This window comes from Homo sapiens, chromosome 1 (genome assembly GCF_000001405.40).
Source record: "Homo sapiens chromosome 1, GRCh38.p14 Primary Assembly".
Taxonomy (NCBI): domain Eukaryota; kingdom Metazoa; phylum Chordata; class Mammalia; order Primates; family Hominidae; genus Homo; species Homo sapiens.
The window spans coordinates 21,579,934-21,595,832 of record NC_000001.11 but is presented as its reverse complement, the minus strand read 5'-3'; the positions used below and the strand labels follow the sequence as shown (position 1 = coordinate 21,595,832).

Here is a 15,899-nt window from a genome sequence, read left to right as displayed (position 1 = left end):
GAGCTGGTGCGTATCAAACATACAGCACAGTGTCTGGCACACATTAGGTGCTCAATTAATTACTTCCTTCTCCCTGTTCTCATATTCAGTGAATCCCCTGATATGGCCACAAGGCGGCGCCAAGGGACCACTTACGGGACCCGATGGGGACCCAGGAGACGGGGATGAGTCCAAGTCCCTCTACCAGGATCTCACAGCTGGGACAGTAGGACGAAGGGTGATGAGGGGCAGCCGGGGACAGGAGAGGTGTGCACAAGCAGGGCCTGGGGAGAGAGGCGTCAGGGAAAGTTCCTGGAGTTGCTCCCCGTTCCTGAGAAGGCCTAGGGAGGAGGGACGCTGCAGGAGGGGGCCTCGAGTAAAGGGCGGGGAGGCAGAGCACCCCTGGAACCAGGAAGGTGGCAGCCAGCTCTGAATGGTGGGAAGGTGACAATGGAGGGGACAGGGAGATGGGCAGGGATGAGGCCAGAGGCAATGTGGCCTTGAACTCCCGACGGAGAGGCCAGGGCTCTGCGCCAAGGGCAGGGGGAGCCCCAGGCAGGAGCGGTAGTTGCTGGTGGAGGCTGCACCAGTGGAGGGAGGAGGGGACCAACGAGGTTGTTGCTGGGGTAAGAGGGTGGCCAGGAGGACGCTGAGAAGGACACCAGGTGGGCCTGAGCAGGGGGACCAAGCGCCTGATGGGCTGTGGGGCTAAGGGGGGAATCGGGTGGCTCCCGGGGGTACAGGCTGGGTGTTGGGTGAATGAGGGGACTCTCCCTCTGGGGCAGGACCACGGAGGAGAGCAGGTCTGCGGGGTGGCTTTGGGGACATTTGGGAGTAGGCACCAAATTGGGCCCCGAAGGGATGAGCCGTGCCTTGGCCTCCCTGACAGCTTGGCAGTGCCCCCTATCCCCTGCTGGCCCTGCCCCCTTCCCAGGATGATGCTGAAGGAACCCCAGGGGTTTGTCCAGGGAGTGCCACACTTTTCCCGACAGGGCCCTTCTGTGACCCTCTGATGCCTCAGGCCACCCATGGGTGGTGACTCACACCCAAACCCCAGCCCCACCCAACTCGGTTTGGCTCTAGGCTGCTCTGGGCCCAGTGAGTCCCCTGTGAACTGCCCACCCATCAGCCGCACCCCTGCTCCCTATCCCTCCGCCGCAGTCCTCTGCCCTCTCTCCTCCTGCCCCACCTCCACAGGGCCGGCATCACAGTTCAGCACCACGGTTAAGAGCTTCTTCAGAATCAGCTCTGAGCTGCTTCGCCTCCTCGCGCTATGACCATGCAGACACGATTTTGGCTCCCTGGGCCTCAGTTTCCTCATCTGTGCAGTGGGGGTGCTAACAGCCCTGCCCTCGCTGGCACCCTGGCATGAGGATTAAATGAGGTGACACCTCATAAAGTTCTGGGTGCAGCCCCAGCACGTGGTGGGCTCAAAGAAGAGAGTGTGCATACCGCAGGAAGGGATCAATGACGTCCGTAATTCAGAACACGTGGGGTCCGCTCAGTGCGTGGAGGACGCCCACCTGCCACTGGGCCCAGCACAGGTGCCTAGATGTGAGGCTTTGGGAATGGACGGCGTCAGGTGCTTCCCTGGGCCTCAGCTTGCCAGGTTTACCTGGGGTGACGATGCTGCCATAACAGAGCTGGGGGAGGTCTCCGGCTTGTCTCCCTGTACTTAGCAATGCACCCCCACTCCACTCTATCCCACAGCTGAGACAGAGCAGCAGGGGCTGCTGTGGCAGAGCAGGTGGGCAGCTTGGTGGGCAGAACCTGCCTTTGCCCCATCCCTGTCCAGCTGGTGCCAGGCCGTCTGCGGGAAGGAAGGCCTTGGGGCTGGGTTTCACCCTACCGCATCCCTCCAAGCTCCGAGGTGGGGTCAGGGGAGGCTGGCAACGGATCGGGCCTCTGGGATCAAAGTGTCCGGTGCTATTTCTCTTGTGCCCGCGCCAGCTCTGTGCTCACCCTGGGCTGTGAGGTGGGAGGGCGAGCCGGGACACTCTGACTCGAGGCTGGAATTAGAACTTGGGCGGGGGGTACCAGGCTCCGGGAAGCGCTGGACTCTGCTTAGAAATTACTCTGGTAGTGGAAACAGCAGCCGGGGGGTTCCTCCAGACACAGGAGGGAAGAGGCCTCCCGTGGAGGGACCTGGGTGCCTGGAAGACGTGCCCTCCCCCATCTCCCCTACCTCACAGCAGGGGCCTCCTGTCTCCAGGAGTCTGTTTCCTTACCTGGAGAATGAGGACAAGGCCCCTACCTATTGCTCTGAAGAGGCTGTCTTGGCCTCTAAGGTACCTGGGATGGCTGCTGGCACAGAACCCGTGCCCAATACAAGGGGGTCCTCCCCTACCCACCCCCAGCTGGGGTGTTCTTGGACCTCCATGGCCAACCCTGGGGCAACTTTGCCAAGGAGATGACCGCAGGCCCGGGCCGGCCGTGCCAGGGGACTGGGAGCTGGACGTTCTCTGCTGCTCAGGCCACAGGGGGTGCTCAGCCAGGGACCCTGGAATGTGGAGGTCCCTCCCTTCTTCCCTGCTCCCGCCTTGCCAAGGGGATGGAGCCTCCTGAAATAACCAGATCTGGTTAGCGAGGCTAATTTTAAAAGCCACTCTGGCTGCCCCATAGGCCGTTCTGGGAAGCCATGAATGTCCCTGTGTTTGCCCCTGGGAGGCAGGGCGAGGGGAGAGCCCTGGGGCTGAGGCCGGCCTCTGAATGGACTCCCACCCCTGCCTCCCAGGGCCGGCCAGTCTGGGGCCCAACGTTGGGGCTCAGGGACCCCACCTCTCCTCCACCCCAATCCACTCAGGCAAATCCTAGTGGGCTTTCAGGACCCTCCACCCGCTTCACTGGTCTCCTGAAGCAGCTCTGGGCAGGGATCCGGAAGCTCTCTGTCTCCCTCTCAGCTGTCTCCCCCTCTGTCTCCAGTGCTCAGTCTCTGTGGTGTCCCTTTATCTCTGTGTCTCTGCCTCTCTCTGTCTCTGAGTCTCGTGGTCCCTCTCTGCAGCTGTGGCTCTCTCCCCCTCTCTCCCTGGACCCATCACACAGGAGGCGGGATGCAGTGTTCCTAAGGGTCCATACGCTGGGCTCTGTGCACTGGGTGGTGGGCGGCTGTGCCCACCTAGGAGCTGGGGTTTCAGGTGCGGCCCAGCGAGGGAGGGAACTAGTCCTGGGGACCAACAGGAGCTATAACTGGGCAGGCAGGAGCCAAGTCCAGACACGACCTGGGCCATCTGGCCAGGCCCACTTCCAGCAGGAGGAAAGAGCTCCAGGTCTAGGGTTGCCAGATTTAGCAAATAGAAACCCACGGTGCCCAGTTAAATTTGAATTTCAGATAAACAAGGAAGAATTTTTAGTTTAAGTATACCTTGTGCGATATTTGGGACATACTTATACTAAAAAATTATTCTTTGTTTGTCTGAGATTCAAATTTAACTGAGCGTCCTGTATTTTATCTGGCAACCGTCTCCAGGGAGGCTCTTGGAGTGAAGGGAGAGGTTTCTCAGGAAAGGCAGGTTGCACAGGCCAGTCTGATGGCAGTGTCACAACCATGCCCTGGAGAAATCCCAGTCTGATGAGGGAGGCACAGCTACAGACCACCAGGAGTTGGTGTGGGGACAGTCCTTGGGAACGTGGTGGGGAGGCACGTGACACACAGTCTTCTTAATGGAACCAGAGACATCAGAAGGAAGGGTCTGTGTGTGCATGAATGGCTGAGCCCAGCACCTTGCACACAGTAGGGGCTCCATAAATATTTGCTGAATGAATGAAGAATCCGGGGAATGGAGGGGGATGCGCATCCGGGGAATGGAGGGGCAGTAGTACCCTACTGCCCAAGCTCCTAGGAACCAAGTGTGTGCCACCCCCAACCCAGGGACTCCCCAATATGAGCTGCAAAGGGGACGGGAGGGGGCAGAGTGGGTAAAGAGAGATCAGCTTTTCCCTTATTTTGGCCCCTCCCCAGACCCCAATCCTATGTGGGAATTCAGCCCTGGGCAAGGGTGCAGGTGGTGGTGGGGACTAGGGCAGGTGATCTACCCTTGTGGCATTTGGGGATGGCTGGGATGAAGGTGGGGGGGCGCAGGCCAGAGGGCACTGCTCAGTGACGCTGCTGTTTCTCAGGGGCCTCCCGTGTGCAGTGCCCTGTGCCCTAGCGGGGTGTTGGACGAGACAGGGGACCCCTGGAACCCGGGAAGTGAGGGGTCCTTGTTTCTGGGCAGGTGAGACTTGGGCCTTTGTCTGTGGCCCATTAATCTCAGGGGTCTCCCTGGAGGTGGCGGGGGGAGGCAACTAGGGAGAGACCTGTGGCCCTTTCATGCCTCCCCAGGGGCAGAATTCCTTAAACAGCCTTTTTATTCGTTCACTCATTCATTCACTTGCTAACAGGCTCGCTTACTCACTCATTGTTGCCATTCACTGAGATGACCCCCCGACCGCCCCCTGAACTCTGCCCCCTGCTCAGGATCTCAGGCGCTTGTCCAATCCCAGCAGGAACATACCACTGGCTCCTGGCATGACACTGGGCAAGTCATTGACCCTTCGGAGCCTTGGTTTCCCCAGCCCTGCAATGGGGCTACACTAGCAGCTCCCTGGCAGGATTATTGCGAGAATGCGTGAGATGTTGCCTGCCCCCCGGGAGCACTTCCAAAGGGAGCCACGGCTGCTGCTGGCACCATTATCATCATCATTATTATTATTAATCATTGCAAGGCCCCCATGGGTTGGGCAAGGAGCAGCCGCCTGGCTCCATGTCCAGGTCATGCCGAGGCTGTTCTGGGAAGCGCCCGCTTCCCCTTGGGGCGTCAATCATCTCAGTTCCCAGCCCTCCTTTTCAAGGGGTGTCAGCGTTTTGGCTTCTAGATGCAGCATGAAATCCTGTAGAGAAAAGTGAGAGGTGGGGATGGAGCCGAAGCCTCGCCCCCTCTTCACCTGCAGTGTGAATTCCGGGCCTTGGTTTCCCCAGTCGTGCAGCCGGGGGCTGGGCTGGGCATCCTGCCAGAGCCCAGAAGGGGCCTCTCCATGTGTCATCCTGTTAGAAACGGTTTAGCTCCGAGCCTATAATCACATCTACCCGGGGAGGAACTAACACAGCGTTTCTTTAAATTGGGCTCTAATTGCAGCTTTTAGTGGAGTCACATGCACCCCATCCCCCAGCCGGTCTGAATTAGGGCGGCTGTCCCAGCCTGCCCTGCCAAGTACAGGAATCCCCCAGGATTGCTGTGGCTCCCACTGAGCCAGCGGTGGATGAGTCCAGGGCTGCTGTTTCTCAGGGGCCTCCCGTGTGCAGTGCCCTGTGCTGGGCGCTTCCGTCTGGGGAACTCCTTGTCATTTCACCACCTGAGGATCAGGCACTTCTGGGACCTGCTTGCCACCAGGCCTCCTTTCTATTCACCCAGAAGTGGGGAGCCAGGCCTGGAGAGTGGGGTGTTGGCGGGCAAGGCCAGAGGCCGTGCCCCTCCTTGGGGGCGTGGTGGGGGAGCCTGTGGTTTCCCTGTTTGTTCTGGAGATCCCAGCCGCTTCCCCGAGGAGACAGCTGACGGTTCCCAGGCCACAGCCCCTCAGGCGGGGCCAGACCACGGCTGGCCAGCCTGGGAGCACTGCCCGCCAGCCACCCGGGCTCCGCCAGGCCCTGGCGCTGGGTGGTCTGGGCAAGGGCCAGGGGGGGGCCTTGGTCCTGGCCACAGGGCAGGAACCGTGACCAGAGCCAGGCATGGGGCTGCCCTGCCAGGGACCTAGAGGGGTCCTGAAGGCCACGGCGGGGCCAGGCCAGGGGCAGAGGCCAGCATGGGCAAACACTGCCTTGGGGAGACCCAGGAGGGGAAGACTCCAGGCCCCAGGTCCATCTACAGGAGGACCTCCAGAGAGACACTCACCCCCTTCAGGAATGTCCCAGTTGGAAGGTTTCAACCCAGCCATTGAGTTGGCTCAGACAGGAGTCCACCTTAGAGGCTGGCAGAAGAGTCGGGGTTGGCAGACAGAAGACCTAGACCCCAGCCCTGCCTTCCTTCAGACCTCAGTTTCCCCATCTGTACAATGGGCAGGGGACACAACCTCGTGCTTGACATGGGCTCTTCCAGCTGACCAGGCTGTGGATGGGAGGTGGGCAGCCCAGGCTGGAAGGATCTCAGTCATTCCCACATTCATTCTCAGGGACTTGTCTTTCTATTTATTATTTGTTTTTGAGATAGTGTCCCACTCTGGCGCCAAGACCGGAGCACAGTGGCACGATCATAGCTCACTGTAGCCTTCAATTCCTGGGCTCAAGCTATCTTCCCATCTCACCACCACACCCGGGACTAGAATTGGGGCCTCATTTTGTTGCTGAGGCTGGTCTCGAACTTCTGGGCTCAAGTGATCCTCCTGCCTTAGCCTCCCAAGGTGCTGGGATTACAGGCATGAACCACCACATCTGGCCTGACCAATAGGATTTTGATTAGGATTACATTCACTTTACTTCTTTCTTTGGTTTTGTTTTTTCCTCAGGGGCTTCTCCTTGCCCCACCCCTGAGTCCTGCGGCACCCCCTGTACCTTGGATGAAGCCCTCTCTGTTCCCAGCTGTCCGGGAAAGAGCCCCTGTGGGTTTCAGAGCCTAGCAGACCCCAGTTCAAATCCTGACCACTGGCTGTCTGTAACCCTGGGCAAGTCACTTGCTCTCTCCAGCCCATAACTATAAATACCATCCTGACCCTCATCTTTCTATTTCCTCCCTCGAACTCCAGACTCTTTTCCTCCTACCTACCCAGCCAGCGTCTCCACTCCAAGGTCCAGTGGGCACCTCCAGCCCAATGTGATCCAAACCCAACTGTCTGTTTTCTCCCCACTTCTGGTTCCCCATACCCGTAAACAGCACCTCCATCAACCCAGGTGCCCAGCCCCGATTCCCCTGTTCCCTCCCCTCCCGACGTGCAGTCCACCAGGGAGCTCTGCTGGCCCTCCCTCCCAGCATGTCTGGGATCCAACTCCTTCCCGCCACCACCACACTTAGCCTGGTCCAAGCCACCACCACCTCCAACCCAGACAGGGAAAGCTCCAGACTGAGCTCTGGGCTCAGCTCCTGGAGCTCCCCAGCCTCCTCTGCTCCCCAGCCACTCGAGTAATCAAAGCACAAGCCAGTCACTTGTCTCCCCTGCTTCTTTTTTTTTTTTTTTTTTTTGAGACGGAGTCTCGCTCTCGCTCTGTCGCCCAGGCTGGAGTGCAATGGCGTGATCTCAGCTCACTGCAACCTCCATCTCCCGGCTCCAGGCAATTCTCCTGCCTCAGCCTCCTGAGTAGCTGGGATTACAGGCACGCACCACCACACCCGGCTAATTTTTGTATTTTTAGTAGAGACGGGGTTTCATCATATTGGTCAGGCTGGTCTCGAACTCCTGACCTCATGATTCACCTGCCTCGGCCTCCCAAAGTGCTGGGATTACAGGCGTGAGCCACCACGCCCAGCTGTCTCCCCTGCTTCTAACCCTCCAGTGGCTTCCTCTCTGCGACCAGAAGAAGATGCCAGCTCTTTTCATGCCACATCCCATAATGCAGCCTCTGTCCCACTCACTGATCCCCGTTTCTCTGGGTTCCAGCCACATCACCTTATTTCTGGTCCTCATTTCTGCCCCAGGTGGTTGCACTTGATCTATTGCCTGCCTGGAGCCGTTGTTCCTCCAGGTCTTTGCAAGGCATTGTCCTTGCAAATGTCACTCCCTCAGACAGGCCTTCCCTGACCACCAGCTACAGCAGTGCCCCAGTCACTCTCTGGCTTTTGGTTTTCCTATCTGTAAAATGGGGCCGGCACCGGTGTTGTTAAGAGGGTGGGAAGAGACCGTTGGGACTGGGGGCTGAAGTGCCAGAGTCAGACAGGCACTGGGTACCTGTGAGTCCCTCCTTCTCACAGGCCGGACCCAGGGTCAGAAGGCTGTGAGAACCCTTTGCTGGAGATGGAAGCTGGGCTCCTCTGCCCATTTTACTGTGCGGCTGCAACTTGGTGCTGACCCTTCCTGGGCCGCCTTCCTCCCTGGACCATAGCGAGGCCATTCCAGGCTGAGCTTTGTCTGGGAACCTGTGGAAAGAGGCCTTTGCCCCAGGAGAATCTTCGACAGTGGAGGGCTCAGAGCACAAAGGGCCCATCTGGCACCAAAACTCTCCTGATGCTGGTTGTCATGACGGCACCTGTCACAACCTGAGAGGAGGCAGCAGCTAGCCAGGCCTTGGCCCAGGGCTCTGGGAGGCCAAGAGGGGCAATGATCACACCTCAAGGCCTCCAGACCCTGCCCCAGGCCCCTTCTCTCACCCTGACCCAGCACTCTGCCCCTTCACTGCCATTTTTCCCCAACCAGGTGACCTGAGTGGGCTGGAGGCCGATGACACACCTGCAGGCAGCGTGGTCAAGCCCGGGCTGACTTGGGGATCCAGAAACCCTGGAGCTGCCCCCTGGCATGGGTGGGTGGAAGCTGCTGGGCACTCCCCACAGGTCAAAGGCACAGCCATGGGTGCCCTGTTTACAGTCCAGGAGGACAGAATTCCCAGCCACTGAACCCCCACCTCCACCGCCACCCCCACACCTCAACCCTTGCAGTTAGATTCCTGAGTCGTCCTCGTTACTCCTCCCCACCCACGGCCTCCGAGCCCTCCCCGCACCCTGCCTGCCCACACCACAGCACATGGGAGGCGGCGGCTTCAAGATCAAGGAGTCCGCAGATGAGGGCGCTGGACTGCAGCCAGTGGGTGGCAGTGACCAGCCAGGCCCCGACCCTAGGAGCAGAGAATCGGCACGTGGTGACTCACCCCTAGACGTTGGGCCCTCCTCTCCGCCTGCAGTCACAGCACAGGAAACTTAGACTCCAGGAGGAGACACGACGTGGGTGCAGCTGGGAACGGGGAAAACCCAGCCTGAAGTCCAGCCCTGCCCGACGCCAGAGGATGCAACGGGTGATTAAAATCCTGTACTCTGCAGCCACACTGCATGGCTAGAGTCCTGGCTCCAGCCCTTGTTAGTGGTGTATCTTCCCATAAGTTTAAACATTTCTGCTTCTGTTTCTTCATCTGTAAAATGGGGAAAATCACAGTCCCTGCCCTCCAGGGCTGGTTGCGGGGAAGATGAGTTAATGTGTGCTGTGAGGCACGTGAGAACAGCGCCTGGTCAGCAGGGAACGCCGTAGAAATGTCCACTCTTGTGCCCACAGCTATGTTCCCACCGCCTCAGTGATTCTAAGCCTCGGTTCCAGTGGCAGGAGGGAGAGGTGACACTGGAGGACCGAGTCCGGCCCGTCCCCTGCTTGGCTGGGGGTGCCACGTGTGCCCACCCCATCTGAAGGTTCACACAGACTGCTGAGAAGCCAGAAAAGGCCCTGGCGCTGTGATCAAGGCAGAGTCCCTGCGAGGCTCAGAGGAAGCCACACAGGCACTCGGGAGCCCAAATCCTCTTCTGAGAACTTAATCCCCACCCGCCTTCCCCAGAGACGGGCTCTGGCTGGATCCTGGTGGGAGGTCTTCGGTTCAGCCACGGGGCTAATTACAAACGCTGCTGTCTCATCACCCCCCATGGTCACTTTTGGGCTTCTGGGGGGCCCAGGGAGCCCATGGTTCTGTGGCTCATGGGGCTGGGGTTGTTTTCCTTGGAGAGATTAGAGCCCCAGAGACAAGGAGAAGAACATGAGCTGGGAGCCAGGGAGACCTGGGTTCAACTTTCGGCTGTCACCTACAAGCCATGGGCCCAGGAGCAGGTCACTATATCCTGCCGAGCCTCGATTTTCCCATCTGTGAAATGGAGGGTGCCCACTTCAGACGATGGGGAGATATAGAACATGTACCCCCAAGGTGACAACTTCACTGCTAGGTCACAGCACTCAGTAGGGTATGTGGCACACAGTAGGCACCTTACTGCCTCCTGCTCTCCACCCCAGAGCGTTAGATTTGCTCATAATCCTTTTATTCACCTACTGGGCCGGCTTCCTTCTGATAAACAGGAGCTGGGATTCACAGGGTCAAATTTGGGGCTTGTCCCTCCCCTCTCCATTTCCACAGCTCCAGTTTCTCCTGCCTGGTCTATTATAGCAGTGTCTGGGCGGGTCTCCTGGCCTCCAGTTTCTCTGCTTGAAGCGCCCTTGAAACTGATGGCCAGGATGATAGTTATTTATTTGAGACAGAGTCTCTCTCTGTCACCCAGGCTGGAGTGCAGTGGCGTGATCTCGGCTCACTGCTAGCTCCACCTCCCAGGTTCAAGAAATTCTCCTGCCTCAGCCTCCCATACCTGGCTAATTTTTGTATTTTAATAGAGACGGTGTTTCACCATGTTGGCCAGGCTGGTCTTGAACTCCTGACCTCAGGTGATCCACCTGCCTCAGCCTCCCAAAGTGCTGGGATTACAGGCGTGAGCTACCACGCCCAGCCAGGATGATCTTTCAAAAACAATGCTGACTCCCTAGCTCCAGAGCCTTCCATGCCTCCCCAGGGTCTTCACGGTCAACCCCAGCTTCTCCAAATGGCATTTGAGGCCCTTCTGCCCACCTCTCCCCACAGCGTTTCCCTCTGAATTCCCCTCAGTAGCCTCACGCCCTGGTTCCTCCTCCCTTTGTTAAGCCTCAGCTTACTCACTGCCCTCTGTTCCCTGTGCACCCGCCCCCACCATGTTCCCTTCCTGTCCCCACAGCTCCTGGCTTCGACACACACTGGGATGGTCTCTGTAAGTCTCTGTCATGAGATATGAACTTGAGGACAGCCTTGGACTTGTCCATGGCCGGGCAAGATTGCGGCACGGGGCGTGGTACTCAATAAGGCAGGGGCCACAGGCTGTCTCTACCATGACCAGACAGGTGACATACATCTGAAGGCCCAGTGTCTGTCAGAATACAGGACACGCTGGGGGCTGTGGCATCGAGAATAGTGTAGTTCCCTGACAGCTTGTCGCTCAGCTCCAACTGACCGTTGCCCTGCAGAAATGTGGGGTCCACTGCTAGCTGGATCTCCCTTTTTTTTTTTTTTTTGTATTTTTAGTAAAGACAGGGTTTCACCGTGTTAGCCAGGATGGTCTCGATCTCCTGACCTCGTGATCCACCCGCCTCGGCCTCCCAAAGTGCTGGGATTACAGGCGTGAGCCACTGCGCTCAGCCTCCCTTTTTTTTTTTAAGCCAGAATCCCAGATCTTATAGAGAATTTCCCAATTTTTTTTTTTTTTTTTTTTTGAGACAGGGTTACACTGTCACCCAGGCTGGAGTACAGTGGCATGATCTCGGCTCACTGCACCCTCCTCCTTCTGGGTTCAAGTGATCCTCCCACCTCAGTCTCCTGAGTGCAGGGACTACAGGCTTGCGCCACCATGCCCAGCTAATTGTTCATTTTTGGGTAGAGAGGAGGTCTCACTATGTTGCCAGGCTGGTCTCCAACTCCTAGGCTCAAGCGATCCACCCACCTGAGCCTTCCAAAGTGCTGGGATTACAGGTCTGAGCTACTGTGCCTGGCCCTCAGTGTTTTAAAACACGGCACCCGTGCTCAGCAATGGCTGGGGAGTGTGTGAGTTGGAGGATGTCTCCAGCCTGAGCCAAGTTGACCATCCCAGTCTCCCACGCCTCTTCCTTCCTACAGAGCAGAGGTTTTCAACTGATGTGGGGGTGATTCTGCCCCCAGGATGAGAACCTGCTGTGTTGGTGTTGGTGGCAGCGGTAGCCCAAGCGAAGACGGCATTTCCTAGCTTTCCTCGCATCCAGGAAGGATCACAGGACCGGTTCTTGCCAATGCACTAAGGGCGGAAGTGATGTATGTCACTTCCAGGATTAAGTGGTTAAAAAGCAGGCGTGGTTCCCACCATCAAGGTGCTGGCCAGATAGGAAGGACATCCAGAACTTACAGGGGGTGGCAGAGCCACCCCTGGAAAGATCCTGGGTCCCAGTCACCTGAGCAGGGGCGCTGATGTTGGAGGTAAGAATACATCCTCAGGTGTCAAGTTATTGAGCTTTCTGAATTTACCTTTAACAGAAGGCAGGGTTATCTCAGTGAATACAAGAGGGCATGTCAGCTCATCTTTGTTCTTCCTCCGGGAGAAGGCATCTGAGGGCAAAAGAAATCCCTGTGCTGTGGGTCTGGACTGTCATCCTTAGGGTCTAGGTCCATGGCTACCGGCCCTAGTTGTGAATGGAGCTGGGACCTATGCCTGAACCCCGGCTCCAATTAGGACTCAGGGCCCACAGCAGTTAAAATATAAGGTGATGAGTGACCCAGGGCCCAGCCTGAGCGTGGGGAGACCCTGAAGCCATGGGTGCCTGAGCACCTCAATCTCTGCTTCTTGAAGGACACGTCATCCCACAGCCTGGAGTGTGGGCAGGAGGAACTCCTGGCTCCTAATGGGGTACTCAGTCCTCACTACGTGCTGGGCATCGCTAGGCACAGGGCGTCAGAGAAGCTGAATCCCTTGCCCAAGTTCGTAGAACTGAGAAAGTGATGGAGCAGAGATGTGGACCTCCATCTCTCGGACTCACAGCCTGCGCTTTCTACCCCAGCAGTGTATCCCAAAGTTCAACAGAAGCTGCTGGTTTGTGTCCTTTGAGCAGTTGATGTTCCAGCACCAGGCCTGGAGGCTTTCTCTCAGAACTTCATGGGGAAGGTCAGGAGTGCCAGTGTTAATTTCCCCAGGAGCAGCCCTCGGCCAATGAGAGGTGAGAGTTGAAGAATAAATACCCCTGCTCCCTCGCCCCTTGGGTGAGATATCTCTGAAGTGTCGCTCCCACACCATCTCCCAGAGGTCCTTCGTGGGGTTGAGCCCTGGCCAGCCTCAGTGGCAACCTGTTTAAAAACACATCTTTCTCAACATCCTTCCCTTTCCTGTCTTGCTTCCTCATTCCCCAATTTGTGCAGCTTTCTGGGTTCTTCTAATAAACAAACTGCTTGTGCTGAGTTCTGTCTCAGGTTCTGTCTCCGTGGAAACCCAATGCAAGATAACAAAGTGTGGTTTGTCAGACAACCCACAGGGAGAAAATCTTCACAATCTATACATCCAACAAAGGATAAATACACAGAATCTACAAGGAACTCAAACAAATTAGCAATAAAAAAACAAACGGCCAGGCGCGGTGGCTCACGCCTATAATCCCAGCACTTTGGGAGGCCAAGGTGGGCAGATCACAAGGTCAGGAGATCGAGACCATCCTGGCTAACACGGTGAAATCCCGTCTCTACTAAAAATACAAAAAATTAGCTGGGCGTGGTGGCGGGCGCCTGTAGTCCCAGCTACTCTGGAGGCTGAGGCAGGAGAATGGTGTGAACCCAGGAGGCGGAGCTTGCAGTGAGCCGAGATCGCGCCACTGCACTCCAGCCTGGGTGACAGAGCAAGACTCCGTCTCAAAAAAAATAAAATAAAATCCCGTCAAAAAGTGGGCTAAGGACATGAACAGACAATTCTCAAAAGAAGATACACAAATGGCCAACAGACATATGAAAAAATGCTCAACATCACTAATGATCAGGGAAATGCAAATCAAGGTGGTATCACAATGCGATACCACCTTACTCCCGCAAGAATGGCCATAATCAAAAAATCAAAAAAATAATAGATGTCGCATGGATGCAGTGAACAGGGAACACTTCTGCACTGCTGTTGGGAATGTAAACTAGTACAACCACTATGGAAAACAGTGTGGAGATTCCTTAAAGAACTAAAAGTAGAACTACCATTTGATCCAGCAATCCTGCTACTGGGTATCTACCCAGAGGAAAAGAAGTCATTCAACGGAAAAGATTCTTGCACACGCATGTTTATGGCGGCACAATTCGCAATTACAAAAATATGGAACCAGTCCAAATCTCCATCAATCAATGAGTGGATAAAGAAACTGTGGTGTATGTGTATATACTGTGTGTATGTGTGTATACATGTATATGTGTATGTGTATATATATATATATGAATATGATGGAATACTACTCATTCAGAAGGAATGAATTAATGGCATTTGCAGCAATGGGATTAGAGACTACTATTCTAAGTGAAGTAACTCAGGAATGGAAAATCAAACATCGTATGTTCTCACTCATAATTGGGAGCTAAGCTATGAGGATGCAAAGGCATAGAAATGATACAATGGACTTTGGGGACTCTGGGGGAAAGGGTGGCAAGGGAATGAGAGATAAAAGATTACAAATTAGATTCAGTGTATACTGCTCAGGTGATGGATACACCAAAATCTCACAACTCACCACTAAAGAACTTACTAATGTAACCAAACACCACCTGTTCCCCCAAAACCTATGGAAATAAAAACAAAACAAAACAAAGTGTGGTTTGCACACCCTGGAGACATGTAAATTGACTTCAGGTGGTACTGGGAACATTTAAAAACTGACTGCTTAAATGTCAATTTAAAGGAGTGTTTAGGAAATAATAGTATATGGCCGGGCACGGTGGCTCACGCCTGTAATCCCAGCACTTTGGGAGGCCGAGGTGGGTGGATCATGAGGTCAGGAGATCGAGACCATCCTGGCTAACACGGTGAAACCCCGTCTCTACTAAAAATGCAAAAAATTAGCCGGGCACGGTGGTGGTGCCTGCGGTCCCAGCTACTTGGGAGGCTGAGGCAGGAGAATGGCATGAACCCGGGAGGCAGAGCTTGCAGTGAGCCGAGATCGCGCCACTGCAGTCCAGCCTGGGCGAAAGAGCGAGACTCTGTCTCAAAAGAAAAAAAAAAGGAAATAATAGTATGGATACGGCAACAATTGTGAAGGTGGTGTGAAAATAACACCTGGAAAACACTGCATTGTACAGTTCAAGATGAGGCGCTTCCTCTTGGTCCTGGCCAGAATGTATGCATATAGTTTCTTTTCTTTTTCTATGTATTATTTTTTGAGACAGGGTCTCACTTTGTTGCCCAGGCTGGAGTGCAGTGGCACCATCTCGACTCATTGCGACCCCTGTCTCCCAGGCTCAAGTGATCCTCCCCCTCAGCCCTCCAAGTAGCTGGGACTATAGGTGCCTGCCACCATGCCCCCGTAATTATTGTATTTTTCATAAAGATGGGTTTTGCCATGTTGCTCAGGCTGGTCTCAAACTCTTGGGCTCAAGGGATCCTCCGGCCTCAGCCTCCCAAAGTAGTTTGATTACAGGTGTGAGCTACCACTCCTGGCAGTTTCTTTTCTTTTCTTTCTTTTTTTTTTTTTTTTGAGACGGAGTCTCGCTCTGTCACCCAGGCTGGAGTGAGTGCAGTGGCACGACCTTGGCTCACTGCAAGCTCCACCTCCCAGGTTCACGCCATTCTCCTGCCTCAGCCTCCCGAGTAGCTGGGACTACAGGCGCCTGCTACCAAGCCCGGCTAATTTTTTTTTGTATTTTTAGTAGAGACGGGGTTTCACAGTGTTACCCAGGATGGTCTCGATCTCCTGACCTCGTGATCCACCCGCCTCAGCCTCCCAAAGTGCTGGGATTACAGGCATGAGCCACCACGCCCAGCCCTGTTTATTTTCTTTTTAACTAGAGACAAGGTCTTGCTCCTTCACCCAGCCTGGAGTGCAGTGGCATGATCATAGCTCACTGCAGCCTCTAACTCCTGGGCTCTAGTGATCCTCCCGCCTCAGCCTCCCAAGTAGCTAGATTACAGGCACATATCACCATACCTGGCTAATTTTTTTATTTTTTGTAGAGACAGGGTCTCGCTATGTTGCCCAGGTTGGTATTGAACTCCTGCCCTCAAGCAATCCTCCCACCTCAGCTTTTCGAAGTGCTGGGATTACAGGTATGCACCGTTGTGCCTGGCCTATAGTTTCATCTTTTATCCCAGTGTCAGCTTGGCTGTGCTTCCCTTTTTTTTGTCAGGACTGCTAGGAAGCTCAGAGACAAATCTGCTTAGTTTGCATTTTCAATCCTGAAGAAGTCCACTTCTGACATACGGTTTCTCATCTTCCTGAGTTTATATTTAACTGGTGTATGTCATGAGTCATTAGTATTGTCTGCTTCAGGACCT

The 15,899-nt window shown here is 55.5% G+C and overlaps 1 long non-coding RNA gene across 1 annotated transcript, besides 2 other annotated features; it reads right to left on the bottom strand.

Annotated features, from left to right (window-relative positions):
- Positions 3,927-4,465: an enhancer, noted in NCBI's record as "H3K4me1 hESC enhancer chr1:21917861-21918399 (GRCh37/hg19 assembly coordinates)". NCBI's record gives its function as "activates a minimal SCP1, AML or CMV promoter by ChIP-STARR-seq in naive H9 embryonic stem cells {active_cell/tissue: H9 hESC(naive)}" and the evidence as "EXISTENCE:reporter gene assay evidence [ECO:0000049][PMID:30033119]".
- Positions 4,466-5,005: an enhancer, noted in NCBI's record as "H3K4me1 hESC enhancer chr1:21917321-21917860 (GRCh37/hg19 assembly coordinates)". NCBI's record gives its function as "activates a minimal SCP1, AML or CMV promoter by ChIP-STARR-seq in naive H9 embryonic stem cells {active_cell/tissue: H9 hESC(naive)}" and the evidence as "EXISTENCE:reporter gene assay evidence [ECO:0000049][PMID:30033119]".
- Positions 4,646-9,385, bottom strand: LINC02596 (long intergenic non-protein coding RNA 2596). Its single transcript, NR_187321.1, has 2 exons — positions 8,744-9,385; positions 4,646-4,848 (listed from the first exon to the last, which is right to left on the bottom strand). It is a non-coding gene; the product is annotated as a long intergenic non-protein coding RNA 2596 (long non-coding RNA).